Below are 22,792 nucleotides of genomic sequence, written 5' to 3'. Positions count from 1 at the left end.
TAATCTCATAATATAAAACATCCATCATCAAACACCCAATTCACACTCTAATGTTTTCATTTTATCAAAAGATGCCTTTTTATAAAAATCCACATATTTCTTTCTTTTTTTTTTTTTGACAGAGTCTCACACTGTTGCCTTGGCTGGAATACAATGGTGCAATTTCGGCCCACTGCAACCTCCACCTCCCAGGTTAAAGGGATTCTTGGACTCAGCCTCCCAAGTATATTTCATTTTTTAACAAACACTTTAATTCTCACGTCAATATCATGATGGAATTTTCTCTTAAACTTTTAACCAGCTTGTTGTTTGAATCATGAAACAAAGTGAATTCATACACTGTAATTAATATATTTTTTAAAGACTCTATAAGTTCTCCCACAAACTCATTTTTCTTCTAATATTATTCTTAAGAAATCTTTTTTGCATATTTTATAACATTTTCAAGTCTGGATTTTGTGTATTACATTCTACTGTTGCCATTTAACATGTGTCTCTGTCTCTTATATTTCCTATAAACTGGATATACAGGCTTGATAAGAATACTACTGGGCTTTTTTTTTTTTTTTTTGGCTGGACTTCTTCAGTAGTGCTCTTGTACATTTCCCTTCAGCATCACAAAATGTATAGTTGTCTCTTCTTTTGCGACCTAGAGAAAGAAAAACAAAAGTTGATTCCAGCTTATTCCCATTATTTTTAAAAGCTTGAATAATGGTAATATTTTATTATTCCTTCTTCATTTTTTAATTGATATTAATTCATTAATAATTCATTAATTCATTAATAATATAATTCATATTATTAATGAAGAAATGTTGTTAATCATTAGTTGGTAACTCTAAAGGAATAGTAATTTTAATTTTATATACTATTTTCCAAAACAGTGAGAATTGGTTTCATGAAATTACCCTACGAGGTGTTTTTTGTTTGTTGTGGGTATTTTTTTTTTTTTTTTTTGCTGTTTTGATGGTTTTATTTAAATGAAAATAAAATGTGCACATGAGGTGTCTATTGATTTTTTTCTCTGCACAGCCTGGCATTGGGATTGGTGGCTCTGATGGCCAGCTGTGCTCTGGGCTGCTCTTTCTGTGATGGCTTTGTGGTTCTTGGAGGAAACATTGTAAGCAATCTCAGCAGAGTAAGATTTGTTGCACATCAGCTGCATTTCCAGCTCCTTGACTTTGTGGACCAGGAAATTCTGGAAGCTACTGGGCAGCATGTGTTTTGTTTTTTGTTGCTCCCATATGTAGGGCATCTAGATCCAGCCCTTGAACCTTCTACAAACCCTGTTGTCAATACTTCTGGGTTTTCACCAGTTATGCTTATTTTTGACATATCGTCTAACTGGCGCCAGATGGACTTCTTGGTCCTCTCTTTTTGACGATTTTGTGCTTCATGCAGGGTCTGAGTGCAGCCATGGTGCCAATTAGGAGATGGCTGCTCCTCTCTAGGCAGTGCTGAGATTTTCTTTTTTCTTTTCTTTTTTTTTTTTTTAACATTTATTTGAAGCTCAGGGGTACATGTGGAGGTTTGATACATAGGTAGACTTGAATCGTGGGGGTTTGTTGTAAAGATTATTTCATCACCCAGGTATTAAGCCTAGTACCCATTAGTTATTTTTCCTTATCCTGTCTCTCCTCCTGCTCTCCACCCTCCTATGTGCCCCAGTGTGTGTTGTTCCCCTCCCTTTGTCCATATGCTCTCATCATTAGCTCCCACTTATACGTGACAACGTGCAGTATTTGGTTTTCTGTTCTTTTCTTAGTGTGCTAAGGATAAGGCCTCCAGCTCCATCCATGTCCTTGCAGAGGACATGATCTTGCTATTTTTCATGGCTGCATAATATTCCATGTTGTACATGTACCACATTTTCTTTATCCTTATATGTGTGTTTTGGAGTGCTAGTATGACTTCATGGATTTAAACATTTTATGTGTTTGAAACCATTACTTTTTCTCCAAATTTATGTTTAAACGTTTTCAACTTTGGCCTGTGATAAGCTATTCAATTTGGCTCCTACATCCTTTTGACATGACCCTTGTAAACTACTATACATCTTATTTTTGATTTGAAAGGACGTTCTAGGACAGTTTTGTACACTTCATGCTCATATCTAAAATCTAAAAATTCTTGGTTTCTTTAGTGAGTAATGATATTTAAATACTACAATATGGACTGTAGTAGTACTTATTGCTTTTGGGTTGGTCAATGTTTCTAGAACTCTTTAATGCTAGAAATATGTATTATGTTTTAAAATATGTTAAGAGTTCAAGTGTAAAATAAAATTTAAATTCAGAACCATATGTGTAATCAGTATTTTTTTTTCACACTAAATAGACTCCAACATTATTACTTATTTGCTAGCTCAGAAAAGTAATTCCACAACACTACTAACAATGTGATACTGAGATTAGTTTAGACAGTCCTGCTCCCATTTTTTGGGTAATCACACCAAAGTTCCAAGTAAAATTATTGTATTTTAAAGTTACTTGAAGTAGTTTCCTTATTTGGGACTATTCTGTCAACTCAATATATTTGTGTAACTTTTCATTTATAAAGAGGTTACTTTTGGGCTGGGCACAGTGGCTCACACCTGTCATCCCAGCACTTTGGGAAGCTCAGGCAGGTGGATCACTTTATGTCAGGTGTTCAAGACCAGACTGGTCAACATAGCAAAACCCCATCTCTACTAAAAATACAAAAATTAGCCAGACATGGGGGCACGCACCTGTAATCCCAGCTACTCAGAGGCTGGGCTCGAGAACTGCTTGGACCCAGGAGGCAGAGGTTGCAATGAGCCAAGACTGCACCACTGCACTCCAGCCTGGGTGACAGAGTGAGACTCCATCTCAAAAAAGAAAAGAAAAGAAAAGAAAAAAAAAGCAGCTACTTAGTTACTTTTATAAAATTTAATTAAAAGAAAATCTTTGGAAAAATAGTGTATGGTTTTAAAGACAAATTTATAAAATATAGCACATTCAAAAACTTTAAATTATGGTAAAGACTTTGTATATGCACATTAAAATTTTCAAAATGAATATTCAGATGGCTGTGTAGTTAATAAATATTAAATAAACTGCAACAATAAACTACTATGACCTCATTGATGACCCTTTTAAAAAACATATAATGTTCTTTAATGGGTCTTATTAAATGTGTGAAGCAGTTATTGTCACAAACCTTTCAAACCCACAATAATTCAGTGAGGCAACTTTATGCTTTATCAGGCAATTTCATTATTAGCTGCTGGCTAATATCTCCTCTTTATTTGATTATATCAAGGTTTAAATATCTATTTCAAATGCAACAGAATTTTCCATTGATATATTAGAACTTTGTGTTTGCTACTTCTCCCTTATGAATACTAGACTATTTTAAGCCAAAGTATAATTCTTTTTTCCAGTAAAAAATAGAATGTTCTCTTGAGTATATATGGACACAAAGAAGGGAACAACAGACACTGAGGCCTATATGATGGTGGAGGGAAGGAGGAGAAGGATGGAAAATCTACTATGCGATGGGTGGCATACCTGGGTGGCATAATAATCTCTACGCCAAACCCCCATTTACCTGTATAACAAACCTGCACATGCAGCCTTGAACCTAAAGTTTTTAAAAGTTGTCCTTTTTTAAAAAGAATATTTGCTTTGGATTTCTTGGGGATATGCATCCTGGAAAAATAATACTAATTTATCTTGATATCTATAAAATAATTTTCAGTCTGAAAAGTAGATTAGACTTAACTTATGAACTGGATTATCATTTAATTTTTTTTTAAAAAAAGATCAATGTTTTCAAATTCTAAGTGGTTTCAATTTTTTTTGAAATTGGAAACTGTTAAAGTTGAAGCTAGTGTTTGGGGGGAATATTAAAAAATGCATGTGCAGTACTGGGACAGAGCTTCCCTTTCTCCAGAGTTTCCCAATTTTCATCCTTGTACTACACTGTAATACTTAGCCATAATGTTAATTGAAATATAAGCAGCACTAAAGACTGAAAATATTTTAAACTATAAATTGTGGGTGAAAAGTATTGAGTATTTTGTACCACCTTCCACATTTAGGCAAAGATAGATTGAAATCAAGAATAGAAATAATTTAACATCTCACTAGACAATTACTTGTTAGATTTAATAGAAAAATAACTGTCATGGTGGGACAGAAAGTCCAGAATTTCCAAAAATCTAGAAAATCTCTGGATTGTCTAGTCAACATGATTTAAAATTTTCTTCTAGACTAAGTCAATCTATTGGCAAACTGGAGATGAAGACTTAAATTAAGAACCAAAAAGTTAGATAGTAGTACTTGTAATAATATTGTTAAATTATTAATTAAATCAATTATTAAGTATTTATTATTAAATTATTTATTATTTATTATTATTAAATTATTAAATTAAATCTTATTATTAAATAATAAGAAACAACCCCATGGAACACATCACAATATTACTTTATTGTGTATCATTCATTATCAGTATGTTTGCATAAAAGCAAATTCTATCAAGTCTTGGTATGTGAGTCCTCATCCAAGGACACACGTTTTTCTATCCAAATCTATAAAGCTGAATGCCAGAGTCTTTAGGAAAAATTCACATAATATGAATTATTTTCCAAATAAATAAATATTATATGTATAAATAATATATAGAAATAAAACTTTTGCTTTGATATGGCCTGGATTTTGTCCTCACTCAAATCTCATCTTGAATTGTAATCCCAATGTGTTGGGGGAGGGACCTCATGGGAGGTGATTAGATCATGGGAGCAGTCCCCCCATGCTGTTCTCATGATAGTGAGTTTTATGAGATCCGATGGTTTTATAATGGGCTTTTCCCCCTTGGCTTGGCACTTTTCTCTTCTGCCGCCTTGTGAAGAAGGACGTGCTTACATCCCCTTCTGCCATGATTGTAAGTTTCCTGAGGTCTCCCCAGCCATGTGGAATTGTGAGTCAGTTCAACATCTTTCCTTTATAAACTACCCAGTCTTGGGTATTTCTTCATAGCCAGATGAGAACGAACTAATACATGCTTGTTTCCTTATAAGATCATAAAACATCCAAAGATGATGGCTTGCAATGATTAAAGTTTTTAAACATAATTCACTATTCTATTCAGTAAATGAAATATGGATAAAAATAGTTATTTTATAGTAAAATGTAATGTTACACTAATAAAAATAAGAATTTCTTTGATATATTTATTTGTATAAAGCCAAAAAAGGATCCAAGTTTGTCACAAAGTCTGCAATGTAAAATTACTCTCTATAAGATAATGATACAAAACAAACATCTGAATTGTATAATTTCTTTTATTTTTGTAATTTGGAAACATAAGCTGGAATGATTATTCAAATCTACATATTTATTTTTAAATAGATTTTTAGATACTGAAACACATAGATATCTTTTAGCTTACAAAAAAAAAATGATACTATAGACTAAGAACATGACCTTAATCAAGAAGTTTCACCACATGGTTCTCTGAAGAAGTCTGGATACTGAGGGATGACACGATCCCTGGGTTCAGCCTGTTCACCATCTCAAAGGGATCGGAGTTGGCATTTAGCTGAATGTGGAGCAAGAATAGACAGACTGCTACGCTGCTCTTCTGTTCAACAGCCTCATCACAAAGGACAGGTTCAACTTGGTGCAGGGTTTTGTGCTTGTCAGAATAGAATCCTACAAAAACATAGACAAATGTCATCATGAAAGCAGATATAGAGCCTGTAACCTTCATAGAAAGGGCTTTGGAAAAAAATAAGTCACAGGTTACTGCCTTTTGACATATCCCCACAAATTGGCCATGAAAGCTGTTTCCATGGTGATTTTACATCCAGCCATGACCTCTAATTCTCTTAGCTTTCCAGATTCATCTTTCCATTTACTATAACCTTCAAGATACGTGTTATTATGCATAATGTGATATTTGGTTGACGATGTTTTATTAAACTCATTTTGATTATCCAAGTTTAAAAAATGGGGGCTAGAAATAGCATGGTTGATTTCAGTGTTAAAAAAAAAAGACTAAAGAAATTGACCAATGGTTGAGGCTTAGCTCAATCAAAATTGCTGTGAGACTTTGAAAATGTCATGTCACCTATCTGAAACCAGGTTCCTGTTGCATTAACCATACAATTTTTGTTTGTCTATAACATCTGTAGCAAGTCTTCTAAGCCAAACATTATAAAACGTTATAATATGAATAATTTCGTTTTACTATTACATGTTATGTAAATGTCTGTTGACTTATTCCTTTGAATAATGGCAACTCACATTCTGAAATATTTGATAATGACAGTCCTCAAATAAATAGCAATTTTGACACTCGAATTAGAACAATGAAATAGGCCATAACATAGAAGAATACATTCATTGACTTAAAACCCATCATCATGTATTAATATGTCTGAGACAGTTAAAAGCTAATCAAATGCAATTTTAATATCAAAGAATGTGTCTGATGTTAAAGCCAAAATAATAACACAGTGAATAAAATAATTAAAAAGGAAATAAAACAACAATTAGATACTGCAAAATAGCACAGTTTCTGACAATGCAGAAATGATGACCCAGTCTAATCACTGTATTAAACCTAGAATAATAGTTCAGAAAGTCGTTTTATACGGTTTTGCAGAGTAGATATTTGCATATTATATTGGAAATTGAAGCATAGAATTGAACTCTATTAGTTCATTTACCCTCACTTGTTCTAATAAAATGTTTCTTTACAAACCACTTCACTCCATTAATTATACATTTTATGCAGCAACATTTGAGATCATCACAGAATTTTCACTGAAGCTGAAAATTCCAATGAGATAACTCTTTAGATTTTGTTGGATAAAAGGAGGACACTGGAACCTGACAATGAAGCAGCATTGTAAATCTTCTACTTTGCATTAGAAGGTGTTTTAAACCATGTCTATTAGTTTCCTTCTATAACTACTGTCTTGCAAGCTAGGAAATGTTGGTATCTGAGAGTAAGTCTTGTTATTCACCAAAATTTATTAAATTATGCAAGTCAGTTTATTTCACCAGAAAATGATGATTCCGAAAATGTGGCTGGTATTGGCTGGTGTCGCCTCAAAACAGAGTAGATGATTCCATACTAATGACTTGGTTGAAGAGAAATTTATTTTCTACTACCTTTTCTTGAGTTTGACATTTAGTGCACTTCAGAAAATCCAAACTGGCTAATGCTTTGTTTTGTTTCTTCTTGCTTTCATTTTGCAAGCTGATATAGAATGGCGGTGCTACTCAAACTTTAATATGCATATTATCACCAGTGGATCTTCTTGAAGGGCAGATGTTTCTAATTCAGTATATCAGTAGTGGGAATTTGAACTTATCTGCATTTCCATCAAGTTCCCAGGTGATGCCAAAGCTGCTGGACTGTGGACCATACTTTGAATAGCAAGGATTGAGAGGTAGAAAACTACTGGAAGCAGCATCTCTTACTGCTCCACTCCCATTCACCTGCCTGGGGACACAGAAAAATAGCGTTAGTTATTGAAAGAGTAAACCAGCTTGGCAAAATTTGTAGTTATTTTAGATTCTAGGCAGGAAAAAGCCACTAAAGATTTTCACTGGAAAAGAAGAATATTAACTTTTCTAGCTTTCAGAAAAGTGAACATAAAATGAATTTTGAGCCAAACATCATAAAAAACAGTAACAGCAATAGTAATAATACATGTGTATTGTGTGAATAGAGGGCAAAGATGATTACTACACCAGGATTGCTGAATTCTGAGTCCCTGTCTGCTGAGAGTGGATATATGTAGTCTTTTCCAGCAAGTACTTTGAATTTCAGGAGAGCACACAAAATAAGCAAACAAACAAGCAAAAGAGGTAATAAAAAGATCCAACAGCCTTGTGGAAATCATTTCAGCTTTTCTCTGTACTAATAATTGTTAGGTCAGTTTGCAATACACAGGGAAATTTTTCCTCAAAGTCTGTGCAAAGGTAATTCAACTTAGACATCACAGGCAAAAAATAGAATGGGAAATGTAAAAAGTTTACCAGGTGTAATTGAATGAAGGACAAGTTTCCTAATCTCTTGTTTACTCTGTTGGAGATATATTTAGGAGAATTTCCTAGTCTGCTTTATAACTTCCTCTTTGGCCACTATCTTGACCTGGAATAATTACAAAAAGAATGTATTAGAGCACAGTAATATTGTCCACAGAAAATCTGTCTATCTGTGCTCATGTCCTCTGGCATCCACCTAGCTTTGTAGCTCATTTCGTTTGGAAAAGAAAAAATAAATACAGAATATTGCCACTTCCTGAGTTACATTTAGGACATGATGTTGTTACTAAATTTACCGTCTTTCACAGTAACATAACCTATGCAATGAGATTTTTTGAGAAGTAATTTTATTTTAAATAAGCGTTAGTATAGAGGCATTTAATCTTGGCAGATATAATTTGCTGTCTTTCAGACATGCTACAGTTGGCGGAAGAGATTACTTTTGTCATGCTGATAAGAAACATGCCATGTGATGTACTATATCATATCAAGTGATGTTATTGAATGACATAGACATCAAATAACACCTTCCCTCAAACCAACCCTTTGTGTATGCACTGTCAGGTTGAATGAATTAACAATAGCAACATACAGGTTTCACACAGACTTTCAAAAATTTTGAGCATTCATATTATGTATTTTTCACAAGGAAGCTGTTTCTTATGTATTTTATGTTAAATTTGAAAAATATATATACTCTGTGTGGATTCATTTTTATGATGTACTTTTTTCTAAAATTGTTTAATATTTATGTTTCAAGTTTTAGAATTGCAGTAAAATCCTATTGTAATTGCCAATGTTAGTGTTTGTCTGACTGTGATTTTTAAAAAATGTAAACCAAAAAATCATTAGGACAATAACAGGTATGATTTCAAGTTATATAGCTCTTAAGCTCATTCAACAAATAATTTTATTTGGTTTTAGAAATAAAATATGAGCTATTTTCTTGTATTTCATTATCACAAAGACAACGAAAACACTTATCAGTGAGTATTCATGTTACCATAACAAATAAGTATGCCACACTAAATTCAGACTGTATGTGATACAAGCCTGCCATCTACTGACTACACAGGAAATAGAAACCTACTTAGTCACAAGAAATGGATGAAACACTTCACAATTAATATTTAAATTTAAAGTAGGATAAAGTAATATTCTATATTTGACCAGTTTTCAGTTCATAATGATAAAAACACCTTAGCACAAGTCTCAGAAGTAGATTAGTATCCTAGTAAATAATTATTTAAAGACAATATAACACATTCAGATACTAATATAATCAATTTTTCTAATCATTAGCACTGCATTGAATCATTCTTGAGAAAAGATGACCTCTAATGAAAATAAATAATTTGAAGTTTCTTAACTATATCATAACCTGCCATGTTAAAAAGTAGTAATAGAGATTATAAAATTTTAAGTTTGTATAAATCCAATGCTTACTCAGTGATGAAAAACTAGATAAGAAAATGTTGCACACTGGACAAAACATATGTAATTACTAGCATTTACAATAATAAAGCTTTCCTTTTACAAAGAATGAAGGTAAAATTTATTGAAAAATCACAAGACGTGCATGTTATGAGGCTGTATAAAATATTTTTGATATCACTTTAAAAATTAGAAAAGACGTACCATTTATGTCTAAGTCAATATTCATTTCTGTATATTTAAACATGCACAGAAAATAATATTCTGATAGATAAAAAATTGGTGGCTATCATTAGGATAGAAGAAGGATGGGGACATTCTTATATTAAGGCCTTGTTTAGGAATAAAAATATTTTAAAATAAAATAAAAGTCATATGGTCAACCATGTTCTACTTTACTTCCCCTTGTGTCATCAAATTCAGTACATAGTTATATTTTATTCGATATTTAAATTTTCATTTTTATCATCAAGCATTTTTATTTGAAATGGAATTATGATAAACAGTTATAGGCACATGACTTTGAGGGTTTTAGTTTTAGTTTTGTTTTTTAAATGACAATCTAAATTGATAATATATCTTTAGAAGTACATATGAATGCAAACAGCAAGTGGTACAGAAAAAAAATTTCATTAAAAATTTAAGATAAATTCTAAATTGATCAAACAAGCCCAAAATACAAAATCTACAAAATGTCAACCTCTAATAATATCTTGGTCATTCTCTGTTGTTTAAATACTTCAAGACAGTCCTAGGTGATAAAAATTGGAGAATGTCAAGAGTTTTAATTTTTAATCATCTTTTCATGTTGATAATAAATGAGTGGGAATTGGGCCATTATTTAAAATAGAAAATTAAAAGATTTGCAGCATTTATTAACTAGCTCTCAGGACCCTAATTATATAAGAAGTATAAATGCAGTCTTTATGTATAATAAAAAAAGTCATTTTTTAGTCTACATATGATCATTTTGTGTGTTCATAGTTTCATATAATAACATATTTTTAATTAGCATTGCAAATGAGTAATGTCAATACATATAAATATTTCATGATATTCACCCAATATAACAAAAAATAGATTACCAATATTTGAAACAGGAAAAATCAGAAACTTTTTTTTATCCTTAACAATATTGTTAATTTCTTATTTTCAAAGCTCCTATGACTCAGTTACCTTACATAGAATGCATTACTAGGAGAACAAAAAGGAAATAGACTAATAAGAGAAAAAGATTGCTGTAAATACCATGGCAGTTTGTAAGTCGTAAAACTTTCATAATAAACATAAGGCTAAAGATAAATCTGTCTATACCTTGTGGAGTTAATTAGCAATTGATTTAGAGTAGTGATAAATGGATACTTGCTATTATGATTCTTAAGAGCATTCTTTAGGGACTAAGTATGAAATATAAGTTAAAAGATTCCACTGCAAACAGATAACTTGATTGCTTTTCAGCTTAAGAGTTGGAAACTCTTAATGATAATACATTTAGGAAAACACCTAAGACAAAATAGGACCTAATGTTCTCTAAGTTCACCAAATGCCCTGTGATAGAGATATGTAGTATATAATATGCCATAAGATACAGATCAGAAACAGAAATGGGTGAACTGACAAGTTTAACTGATTATACCAACTGAAAAGACAAAGAATATGTTTGTTGCTGAAACATGCTGGACTGAAGAGCTATAGTTTTATTTTAAATCGAGTTACAATAACAAATAATACTAGTCAAATGTCAATTCCATAGCAACTAAATGAGTCCTAGCTTTCTACCAAGTAAATTCAAATCAGGAGTGAGAAGTACTCTATTTCCACAGCCTATTTTTCCTGCTAGTCTAAAAAGGCAATGCTTTTTAAAAGTCAGAGGTACTGAACAAACATAAGGGAAAATAATCACATTTTCAAAGCTACTTTGGAGAATAGAAAATTGATAACTTCGTGGACAAGAAAACTTTCATGGATATTTTAAATACACATGTTTAGCACATGCAAGAATGAATTTTGTGCAAATTTGGTGTCAATTACAACAGAAGTCAGAATTGACTGTGGTGTACATTCCTTAAACTTACACTTTATTTGGTGATAATGATATTACTCTAATGATGATTATGCAGGTAATGTATATAATGCCCTTAGCATGGTGCTCAATAAATGTATTCCCACTCAATAATATTAACAGCTTTTCCTTAAGCTTCAAGGGTTGTAATTCTAGGAGTCAATTACCTTTTTTTAATCCAATATAAAAGTATGCACCCGGGCATGGTGGCTCACTCCCGTAATCCCAGCACTTTGGGAGGCCGAGGCGGGCAGATCACCTGAGGTTGGGAGTTTGAGACCAGCCTGACCAACATGGAGAAACTCCGTCTCTACTAAAAAAAAAAAAAAAAAAAAAATTAGCCAGGTGTAGTGGTGCATGCTTGTAATCCCAGCTGCTCGGGAGGCTGAGGCAGGAGACACTCTTGAATCCAGGAGGCAGAGGTTGGATTGAGCCGAGATTGCACAACTGCACTCCAGCCTGGGCGACAGAGTGAGACTCTATCTCAAAAAAAAAAAAATAAATAAAATGTGTGTGTGTGTGTGAGTATGTGTGTACTAAAAAAATAAATAAATAAATACAAAATTAGCCAGGCATAGTGGTGCCTGCTTTGCAAGTAATCCCAGCTACTTGGGAAGCTAAGGCTGGAGAATTGCTTTAACCCAGGAGCGGAGGTTGCAGTGAGCCGAGATTGCCCCATTGCACTCCAGCCTGGGCAACAAGAGTGAAACTCCAACTCAAAAAAAAAAAAAAAAGTACGCAGCAACTTTGGTATCTCAGAGAAAAGTGGCTAATATGAAAAGCACCATTAGTAGTAGTGTTATAGATTTAAGGTGAAGCTAATAAATTTTTAACTGCAGGACAGATTACTGGATGGAAATTTGATAATACATTCACAGGAGTCATATGATTTTGTAAAATGTACACATAAATATAACTTTTGTATTATTTTGCTTAAATTGTCTTCACTCTCAAAATTATATAAGCTTCAAGACTCACAAACCAAAATCTACTTCTGGGTAAAATGTAGACAAAAAATCTTGTTGAACCACTAATATTTTTTCTTTTCAGATAAAATCATAGATTCCTGGATTTCAAATAGGTTTAAAGAAACATGTATGTAAATTATATGACTAAATCTCTTAAAATATCTTAAAGAGTATAGTTGCACTGCTCATAAAATTGTACAGCACAAAAATTGATAATTGTAAACAAAATCTTTATTCTTTCTTTTCTTTTGAGATGGAGTTTCACTTTTGTCACCCAGGCTGGAGTGCAATGGTGTGATCTCGGCTCACCACAACCTCTGCCTCCTGGGTTCAAGCAATTCTCCTGCCTCAGCCTCCCCAGTAGCTGGGATTACAGACATGTGCCACCATGCCCAGTTAATTTTTGTATTTTCAGTAGAGACGAGATTTCACCATGTTGGCCAGGCTGGTCTCGAACTCCTGACCTCAGGTGATCCACCCACCTCAGCCTCCCAAAGTGCTGGGCTTACAGGCATGAACCACCACGCCCAGCCACAAAATCTTTATTCTTTTTTCAAGGATTTTTATTCTTTTTTCAAGGCTTGATGATCTGCCACCGTTGATTATTGAATAATATATACTTCTATGAAAATATCATCCCACTTCTTTCTGCCATTTTAATAACCTAATTTGACATATTGCAGTTGAATGCTTATAAGCAAATGGTAAAGAATACCATTGGTTTTATGTGGTAGCATTATAATTATAACATATGCCATGAGAGTGCAGTACAGAAATTTGTGGCTCAAAATATATTTATTACAAGTCTGCATTGTGAGCATTTTATTATTTGTTTTTATATAGTTAATATATTGATCAACTAAGCATATTCACTTAATGTATTCATTCATTAATAATTTATTGAATGTGTACTTTGTTTGCAATTCCATACCAGAAAATGAGGGAAAAATTATCAGCTTTTAAGTAGGCCACAATTTAGTTGCAGAGGTAAAGCATGAGTGATTCTACAATGAAACATAATCATTTTCTATATTCTCAAGAAGAAGCAGAAATAGAACATCCATGATGAAAAGCTGTGTGCTACATGTTCAAAAAGCATTAAAACCTCAAACTTTATTCTAATGATCTTTTTTCAACTCTTAGAATATGCAATAAATATTTAAAGCTGATGAAAATTAAAAACAGCCAGATGCCTTATTATTCTATTTTAATTTTGTTTTTCAGTAGAACTGAGGGCTTTGACTGGAATGATTATTTCCCTTTATCTAGTGTTTTAGTAAATATGAATATATAGATAAGATATAGGAAAGTACTTATAACTAGTTCTGAAAGCCAAAGATACAATGCAGACACTAACAAACAGTAGCTGATATAGTTTGGATATTTGCCCCTGCCCAAATCTCATGTTGAATGGTAGTCTTCAATGCTGGAGGTGGGGCCTGGTGGGAGGTGTTTGGGTCATTGAGGCAGAATCCTCATGGTTTGGTGTTGTCTTCACAATAGTGAGTTGTCACAGGATCATGTCATTTAAAAGTCTGTGACACCTCCGGGGCCAGGCGCGATGGCTCATGCCTGTAATCCCAACACTTTGAGAGGCCAAGGCTGGTGGATCACTTGAGGTCAGGAGTTCGAGACTAGCCTGGCCAATGTGGTGAAACCCCATTTCTACTAAAAATACAAAAATTAGCCAGGCGTAGTGGCGTGCACCTGTAATCCCAGCTACTCAGGAGGCTGAGAAGGGAGAATTGCTTGAACCTGGGAGGCAGAGGTTGCAGTGAGCTGAGACTGTGCCACTGCACTCCAGCCTGGGTGACAGAGTGAGACTCCATCTCAAAAAAAAAAAGAAGAAGAAGAAGAAGAAGTCTGTGACACCTCAGCCTCCCACTCTCTCTCTTGCTCTTCCTCTGGCCATGTGGTGTGCCTGCTCCCCTTCACCTTCTTCCATAATTGTAGGTTTCCTGAGGCCTCCCCAGAAGCTGAGCAGATGCCAGCACTGTGCTTCCTGTAAATCCTGCCAAACTGTGAGCCAGTTACACCTTCTTTCTTTGTGAATTACCCAGTCTCAGATATTTCTTTATAGTATTATAGGATTGCAAAAGGATATCATAATGGAACAAACTTCTATTTTCCCAGCTTTCATCCTAACGCTTATACACTCATGGCTGCAGGATGGCCATCTCACCTCCTGCCTCATGTCTCCATTCCAGACTGCAAGAAGAAAGGAAGGGCTACAAGCCTTTTTATTGCAAGCCTTTGACTTTTTATTTAAAAGCATAAATGTGTGCTTACAATTCAATGGCCAGAACTATTTTTGCAAGTTACATCTAGATGGAAAATGGACAGGAGAAAGGTATTTAACTTTTCACACTCCACAGTAGAAGAAAAGAAGGTAGAAGTCACTCAGTTGAGTGACAAATGAGCCAAATTAGAGTGTATTTCACAATGAATATGCTCAAAGTGAATTGAAGAACAATATGGCTTTTATTTTTTTCAAAACATTTATAAAGCTTTTCAATATATCATGTAAAAAGCTACCATGTTAAAAAGGTATTTGTGCTAGCATATGTAACTTCTTCTCACATGTTTATTTCCTAATCATCATTACTTTGTATTTATTGTCTGATTGCTTTTTCATGCTCATTTTCAGATGGAAATCTCAACACAAGTCATAATAGCTTTAAAATCATTTGAGTTTTTTTGGTTACAATTTTTATTTATAATGCTTTGATGCTTGTATGTGGTATTTACTGAAAATGGATGAGTAAAATCGTTGTAATATGGAGAGGACTACAGAAACAAATCCAAATTACAGATAACATTTAACTTGTACAAATTTTATGGCAGACATTGTTTTATATGCTTTACTGATATACACTCACTTAATCCTTATAACAAGTCTCTGAAGGAGTAACCTTTATTTTTTCCATTTTGTAGGTAAGGAAAATAAAGTACAAGGAAGTTTAAGTAAATTTCCTAAAACCATATAGTAATTGGTAGACTGACTTAAACTGAAGAAGTATGCCCCCAGAATTAATGCTGTTAGACACTCTTCATGTCTGCCTATTAGTAACATTAAATCCAATATTTTTTATAAAACAAAATATTATTGTTAATGACTCATTAATTGCTTTTATCTGAGAGGTATGAATAACAGTTTTATTTAGATATTGTCTTAGTCTATTTGGGCGGCTACAACAAAATACCATACACTAGGTAGCTTAATAACAACAGAATTTTTTTTTTTTTTTTTTTTTTTTTTTGAGATGGAGTCTCGCTCTGTCGCCCAGACTGGAGTGCAATGGCACGATCTCGGCTCACTGCAACCTCCGCCTCCTGGTTTTGAGCAATTCTCCTGCCTCAGCCTCCTGAGTAGCTGGGATTACAGGCATCTGCCACCATGCCTGGCTAATTTTTGTATTTTTGTTAGAGATGGGGTTTCACCACGTTGGTCAGGTCAGGTCTTGAACTCCTGACCTCAGGTGATGAACCTGCCTCGGCCTCCTAAAGTGCTGAGATTACAGGCATGAGCCACCACACCCGGCTAACAACATAAATTTATGTCTCACAGTTTTGGCAACTGTGAGGCCCTAGATTAAGGAATCACAAATTTATCTTTTCATGGATGGCTGTCTTCTCACTTTAACCTCACATGGTAGAAGGACTGAACGACCTTCCTCAGGCCTCTTTTGTAAGGGCATTAATCTCATTCATGAGGACCCCACCTTTATGACATAAGCACCTCCTAAAGGTCTCACCTCAATACCATCACCTTGGGAATTAGGATTTCAACATATGGATTTTGGGAGGACACAAACATTCAGAGCATAGCAGATGCATATCGTATTTATAGAAGAAAGATTTTGCAACAGTTCATCTAAATGTCTGAAATTTAGGAAAACGTTTTACTCCTATTGTCTCCTTAAATATTTACTGGCTATATATATCCCATATTTATGATATTCATAATTTATGAATAAATAAATGTGTTTTTTGTCAATGGGGAACAAGAGTAAGCAAGTTGTATATAACTTGTTATTCTGCTAATCTCTTTGTGAAACTTTAATAAACTGCAGTGGGACCAATGTATGTTAAATTTAATACAATGGAAGAGAATAAAACATCTGCCACAAAAATACCCATCACTAATTCCATATTCTCAATGGCTTCTGCAAGCTGGTAATAAGCAGATATAAATGATTTGACTCTGCCAATTTCTAGTTGTGCAGCCAGTGTAAAATACAAAGATTATAAAATGTTCCTCTGTCACGTATTTTGGTGGTGATTGGAGTATCTAGTGAAATATGGGATTTTATTCTTAGCACTTTAAGTTAATAACAATAACTGTAAAACTAATATTGTTCTTTCCAGTAATTGCCATCATCCATCACACTGCCGAGGAATGTAGGAACAAATATGTGCCACTTTGTTTCAGGGCAGGCTCCCGGGTAAAACTACAACGTTATTACTGAGTCTTTTCTACTTAAAACATTATTCAAAGAAATTATATAGTAATGAAATCATATATTTAAAGAGAAGAACAAAACTAAAAGTGTAAAAATAGTTTCATGTTTTACAGCAATCTTGCCACCTACACCAGAACCTGGTATTCTGAGGGCATCAAGTTGTTGTAAATATAGCCAAACTCCTGGCAAAATAGTAGGTAATGATAAGGTTTTATACCAATTATAGGTTTTTAAAGTAATAATTTTCAAAACAAAAATGCAGAATGTGAAATGGACTGTTTTTCCCAGCACTCTTGTTCTTTAAGCAAAGAGATTTTTAAAATCTTCAAGAAATTATCTTATTAGAGCCTAAGACTACAGTTTTACTGCATCATTTTTCTACTTTTTTTAAATAGCCAAGTAGAATCAGAAGTAAAATTAAAATTAAATGAACAAAAGTATGCTTCTTTTTCCTGGATTAATATTTATATTTGTAGTAAATATCTAAGTGAAAATTTTCTTTTTTTTTCATTATCTTTTCTTATTGTTCTTTCTTTCTTTTTTTGGGGGGGGTCAAGTGCTGTTTTGTTTTGTTTTGTTTTTTTTCCCCACTAGGCCATCACATTAGTAACAGGTGAGTTACTATTAATGTGAACTTTAAATATAGCTCACCAGTTATACCAAATGCCAACTCCAATATTCGTTTGAATTTTTCAAAGTGTCTCGGATGTTAAGTCTCATTTCACAATTACTTAAAGGTGAAAGGGCAGGTTGCTTTGGAAAAGCCATTAAAGCTTGTTAGAAAACACCACTTGAGTATGTTCAAGCACAGGGGAAATTCACATAAGGAGCGGGATAATGAAATTCATGGTCAATGGATTTGCATCAGGATTGACCTCAGAAGACAGTGGGACACGGAACTCATGGCTTTTTTTTTTTTTTTTTTTTTTTTTTTTTGAGACAAGTGTCTTGCTCTGTTGCCCAAGCTGGAGTGCAGTGGCACGATCTCGGCTCACTGCAGCCTCCACCTCCCGAGTGCAAGCGATTCTCCTGCCTCAGCCTTCTGGGTGGCTGGAACTACAGGTCCCCACCTCCATGCCCAGCTAACTTTTGTATTTTTAGCAGATACTGGGTTTCGCCATATTGGCTAGGCTGGTTTCAAACTCCTGAACTCAGGTGATCGGCCTCCCAAAGTGCTGGGATTACAAGCGTGAGCCACCGCGCCCAGCCGGATTCAATTTTTTTTTTTTTTTTTTACTTTCTTCTGGGCTTCTTGGTGCATCTGTTTATTTATTTATGTTTTTCTATTTTTGCAAACTGGTCTGTTCCTCTCAGTTCCACATGGTGGGAAACAGCTTCTGATAGTGTTCAGTTTCATAATTCCTCCCAAAAAGGAGCTAAGCAAATCCTAACTTCCTGAAGAAGAAACTGGTGGGGCCAGCATGGGATGTAGTCCCACCTCTGGAAAGACCAGTCTTAGCCAGATTATTTATAGTGAGTGTTCCAGTCTGTCTCGAACATCCGTCCTTTGAACTAAAATACTCAGTGGCTTTCTGTCACTGCAACTTTAGGCTTTGTGGATTTTAATCTCATGGATCCCAGAAGCAAATTGCCCTCATTAAACTGCAAGCTGTAGCTGCCATGCAGTTACTTTGTGCTCTTTGTATTAAGAGACCAACAGACAAGAAATGATTCACCATCTGGAAGGAGCAATCAAAATGGGGTTGTTGTTATGTAATGTCAGCAAGGAAAAATGCATCCAGCACTCAAGAAATCACTGGGACATGTCTTAGCACTTTCTTGCCCAAATTTGGAAACAAATGCAGCAATCACAATAAAAGCAGGCCATTATGATCAGAGGTTCAGGTGTCACAGGGATGGACATCTTTGTCACCTACAAGATCAGCCACGTAAACCAGCAAAGGTGATAAGTAAGGGTAAGGGCAATAAAACATGGATGGCCAAGGACTGAGATGATGAGGATCAATGGCACTGAGACCAGCTGCTGCAGTAGCAGGAGTTAGAGTTTTTCCCATTAGCTTTTCTGTCGTAAAAGTTTGCATAGACAAAAGTTACAACAAAAATCCTAAAGCTATTTTCTGATGAAATAAAATTATGTTAAAAATCAAATGGTGCAAGGGATGAACTGTAGCGGATGTTCTGGGTGCACCGTCTAGATCTTCGTATTTTAGAACTAAAGCACTAATTCCTCAGCTGTCAGGAATATAACTTGCTGTTGGATCACAATTGAATCCCTCACAGGAATTGTTCTTGGTCCAAGAAGCTGCCGTGTTCAGTGTCATGGGCCCTTTGTTGGGCAGCTTCCTACCAAGGGTTGGTTTATCTAAAGAAGTACAACAGGTGTCCCTCTTGCCTTCATTGTATCTGAAGAGCTCCCTGGGATATCAACTGCTGCTGAGAACAACTGTTTGAAACAGCTTTGCAGCTTCACTTCTCCCTCTGTCCCATATTACTTTTTCCATTTCCTCACACAAGGCATTGCTTATCAGAACATTCTCCATTAAACTTTTGCACACAAATGTTTATCTCAGTAACTGTTTCCAGAATCCCTGACATAGTAGAATAATGCTGTGAGAATAAAACAGGAAAACATAATATCTAAAGTTTCTAAAGTCAAACTATATATTTTCAAATCCCAGTTCCTTTCATGTTACATAAAATTGGTCTAGTTATTTCATCTTTCTTTTATCATTTTCTCTAGTAAAAAATAAAGGTAAAAATAAATTTTCATTAAAGAAAATAGATAATTATAAAAAACAGAGCAACTGCAAAAAAGCAAAAAATTAACTAGTTTTTATTATAATAATATTGTTTCATGGAACTCACATCTAAAACCACATTGGATGGGGGAAAGAGCCATTTTCAAAAAAAGAATGAAGAAATTCAAAAATGTGTGCAGTAATCTTGCCCATGTTTTTCTACATTACATGCCTGCGTTTTTATAAAATTCATATTATATAAATGTACGAATATATGTATATGTATAATCAAATTCTAGATTTTTCTTATAATAGCTTAATCGCATTTCTAATGTGTGAAACTAATGTGAAAAATACAGTGAAAAAATTGTGTAATATATATCATAATGTATACATTCATTAAAAGGTGTTAGTGAATGTATTACATTGTTTGATGATACATCCACCCCTTCATCTCTTTAAAACATGATTCATGTGTCTTTTAGAAAGAATAATAATATGATAAAGAAATTTACTAAGAATATGCGCATCTAAAATTTAATAGAGCCATGTTAATGTTAAATAAGCTTTAAAAGGCCGGGCGTGGTGGCTCACGCCTGTAATCCCAGCACTTTGGGAGTCCGAGGCGGGCGGATCACAAGCTCAGGAGTTTGAGACCAGCCTGGCCAACATGGTGAAACCCCATCTCTACTAAAAAAATACAAAAATTAGCTGGGCATGGTGGCATGTGCCTGTAATCCCAGCTACTCGGGAGGCTGAGGAGGGAGAATTGCTTGAACCCAGGAGGCAGAGGTTGCAATGGGCCGAGATTGCTCCACTGCACTCCAGCCTGGGCAATAGGGCAAGACTCAGTCTCAATAAATAAATACATAAATAAATAAATAAGCTTTAAAAGAAAATAAAGCAAGGGAGCTTTCCAAAGTGAGTTATGGAAGATCAAATTATTTACTAAATAAATAATAAAAATGGAGGCACAAGCTTATAAAACCAAATAGCATGAGTCATCCTATTCATTTGCTAACTTGATATGTGTGATGATATATTTGGGAGACATTATAAAAAGTAGTGTGCCCCAGCAAATTTTCCCCAACTCATGAGAGTGGATTGTGTGTATCTCTTTCCAACTCTGCATCGTATTTTTACTCTAGGGAGTTCTTTTCACTTTATGTTAGGGCAAACTTCACAAAAGAGCAAAATTCTTAAGAGGTCAGGACTACCCAAAATGGTACCTTGTCAATAAAATTTCTCAGGGCGAAGTACACCACATACAGAGTCAGCATGTCAAACTACCCTATCAGAATATATTTTAGGAATTTTTTTTGTTTACTCCTCTAATATTAAATTCACTATAGTCATATGCTTTGCTATACACTAGATATAAAAACCTAGGGTCTCTTTCCTCAAGAAGCTTATAGTCTAGTCATAAAATAGAGATTAAATACATAAATAAATCAATATGAAACTAGAAATTTAGAAAATTTATATTAAGATCATGAAAATGTGCCATAGTAGAAAATAACTAAGGCAAATCTAATTAGAAAAGATGTTTGGAGACAACCTCTCTGAGATGATATTTAAACTGAGATTTGGAGGATAAAATGAAGCAGGCCTTGTGAAGATCCACAGAAAATGCACCCCTGGCAGATGGACAAGCATGAAAGGGCACTAAGTAGGACTGTCCTTGGCTTGTTTTAGGAACTCTGAGCAGGCCATTTGGGCTGCAGCAAAGTCTGTAACTCGAATGCTTATTAGAGCCAGTCAAGTTAGGTACATGAGTTAAATAGAACAATGTCAGTGTCTTTAGTTGTATTTTTTTCAACCATATACACTTCATTTGCATATTAATGGAATCTTAATTGTATTATTCCCACAGGGACACTCTGTGATTGCATATAAAACACATAGGAATATGTTTTACTATCAGAAAGAAATATGCTCTGTCCTAATTTTTGTGATACACACTGGTCCTTTGGGTCTATCTTTTGTTTTCTCCTTCAACTTGGCAATACCAAAAACAGCAGGGCAAGCTCAATGATAAATGTCAAATGACAGTGGATCTCAGTATTAAGGTAACAAGATGGTGACATGTCTCTGGTGAATTGAGAATGCACATTTCATATAAAGATTAGAGTCTCTACCCAACTCAAGTGATGGAAAGAAGGTCCAGGTTAGGTTGAAATTATGATTTTTAAAGAAGAACTTAGATCTAAATATTTACACATAATCTCCACATTTTTCAATATTGGCAAATAGTTTTGCAAAAAACAAACACACAGGGATTACTATCAAGACTATATAATACTCCTTTCCATTGTCAAGAACTGTGGAGGGCCTAAGATTTTACCCTACTTGCAATCTAACAAGTTATTCTTCAACAGTTTCATCAATTCTGGAAAAAGATGTGAGATTCCTGTGTCAGAGAAAATGGACAGTTTATTACTCACATAACAGTGGTGGCCAGGTTATCAGCATTTGTGTTGGTTCTTCCAGTCTCATTCCCCACTGACCAAGGCAGAGCCAGCTGACACCTGCATATGTGTGGATTGCATTATAGAAAAGGAAGAACCTATTATTTTAGAATAATTTTATAATTATTTTTATGATGGCAAAACACATCTGCCATTTTGGTCTAGGTATAGATGTCATCTTTGTCTTCCAAGGCTTTAAGCAGACCCTTAGCTCTGAAGGGATACTAACTCTGTCTTCCAAAGTTACTCACTATATAAACTTATACTTAAGAAAATTAACTAGAATGGACAGTTGTTGTCTCTGTTTGCAAGATGTCTGGAAACATAAGAGACATTGAAAATTGTCTCTCAACATCTATAGGCCTCAAAATATCCACTTCTGCACTAAAGCATAATGAGTGAGAAAGGAGACTCAATTAAAATAATGTTTCTTGAGATAGGCAAGAGCCAGATTGTAAAAGAGCTTATACACAAAAGCCCCTTTATATTAAGTTTAATGGAAATCCATCGTTGAACATTGAGAAGAATAACATGAGCCACTTTACATTTTCAAAAGCTCATTAAGGTAGTCAGATGGGGAATGGACTTTGCTGGACCAGACTGATAGAGGTGAACCACTTAGGAAAGGCAACTAAAGATGTCTAGACATGATATCAGTGATGTCAGAGCAG

The 22,792-nt window shown here is 34.4% G+C and overlaps 2 long non-coding RNA genes and 1 pseudogene across 2 annotated transcripts; all 3 read right to left on the bottom strand.

Annotated features, from left to right (window-relative positions):
• Positions 1-557: 557 nt before the first annotated feature.
• Positions 558-5,748, bottom strand: LINC00459 (long intergenic non-protein coding RNA 459). Its single transcript, NR_047038.1, has 2 exons — positions 5,451-5,748; positions 558-649 (listed from the first exon to the last, which is right to left on the bottom strand). It is a non-coding gene; the product is annotated as a long intergenic non-protein coding RNA 459 (long non-coding RNA).
• RPL32P28 (ribosomal protein L32 pseudogene 28) lies at positions 1,009-1,521 on the bottom strand (annotated as a pseudogene).
• A 1,258-nt stretch (positions 5,749-7,006) lies between the features above and the next one.
• On the bottom strand, positions 7,007-8,100 carry LINC01074 (long intergenic non-protein coding RNA 1074). Its single transcript, NR_149075.1, has 2 exons — positions 8,019-8,100; positions 7,007-7,479 (listed from the first exon to the last, which is right to left on the bottom strand). It is a non-coding gene; the product is annotated as a long intergenic non-protein coding RNA 1074 (long non-coding RNA).
• Between the last annotated feature and the right edge of the window lie 14,692 nt (positions 8,101-22,792).

The sequence above is a fragment of the Homo sapiens genome, chromosome 13 (assembly GCF_000001405.40).
Source record: "Homo sapiens chromosome 13, GRCh38.p14 Primary Assembly".
In the NCBI taxonomy this organism is placed as follows: Eukaryota; Metazoa; Chordata; class Mammalia; order Primates; family Hominidae; genus Homo; species Homo sapiens.
The sequence above is the reverse complement of the archived record's forward strand: the minus strand, read 5'-3'. Positions and strand labels throughout refer to the sequence as shown.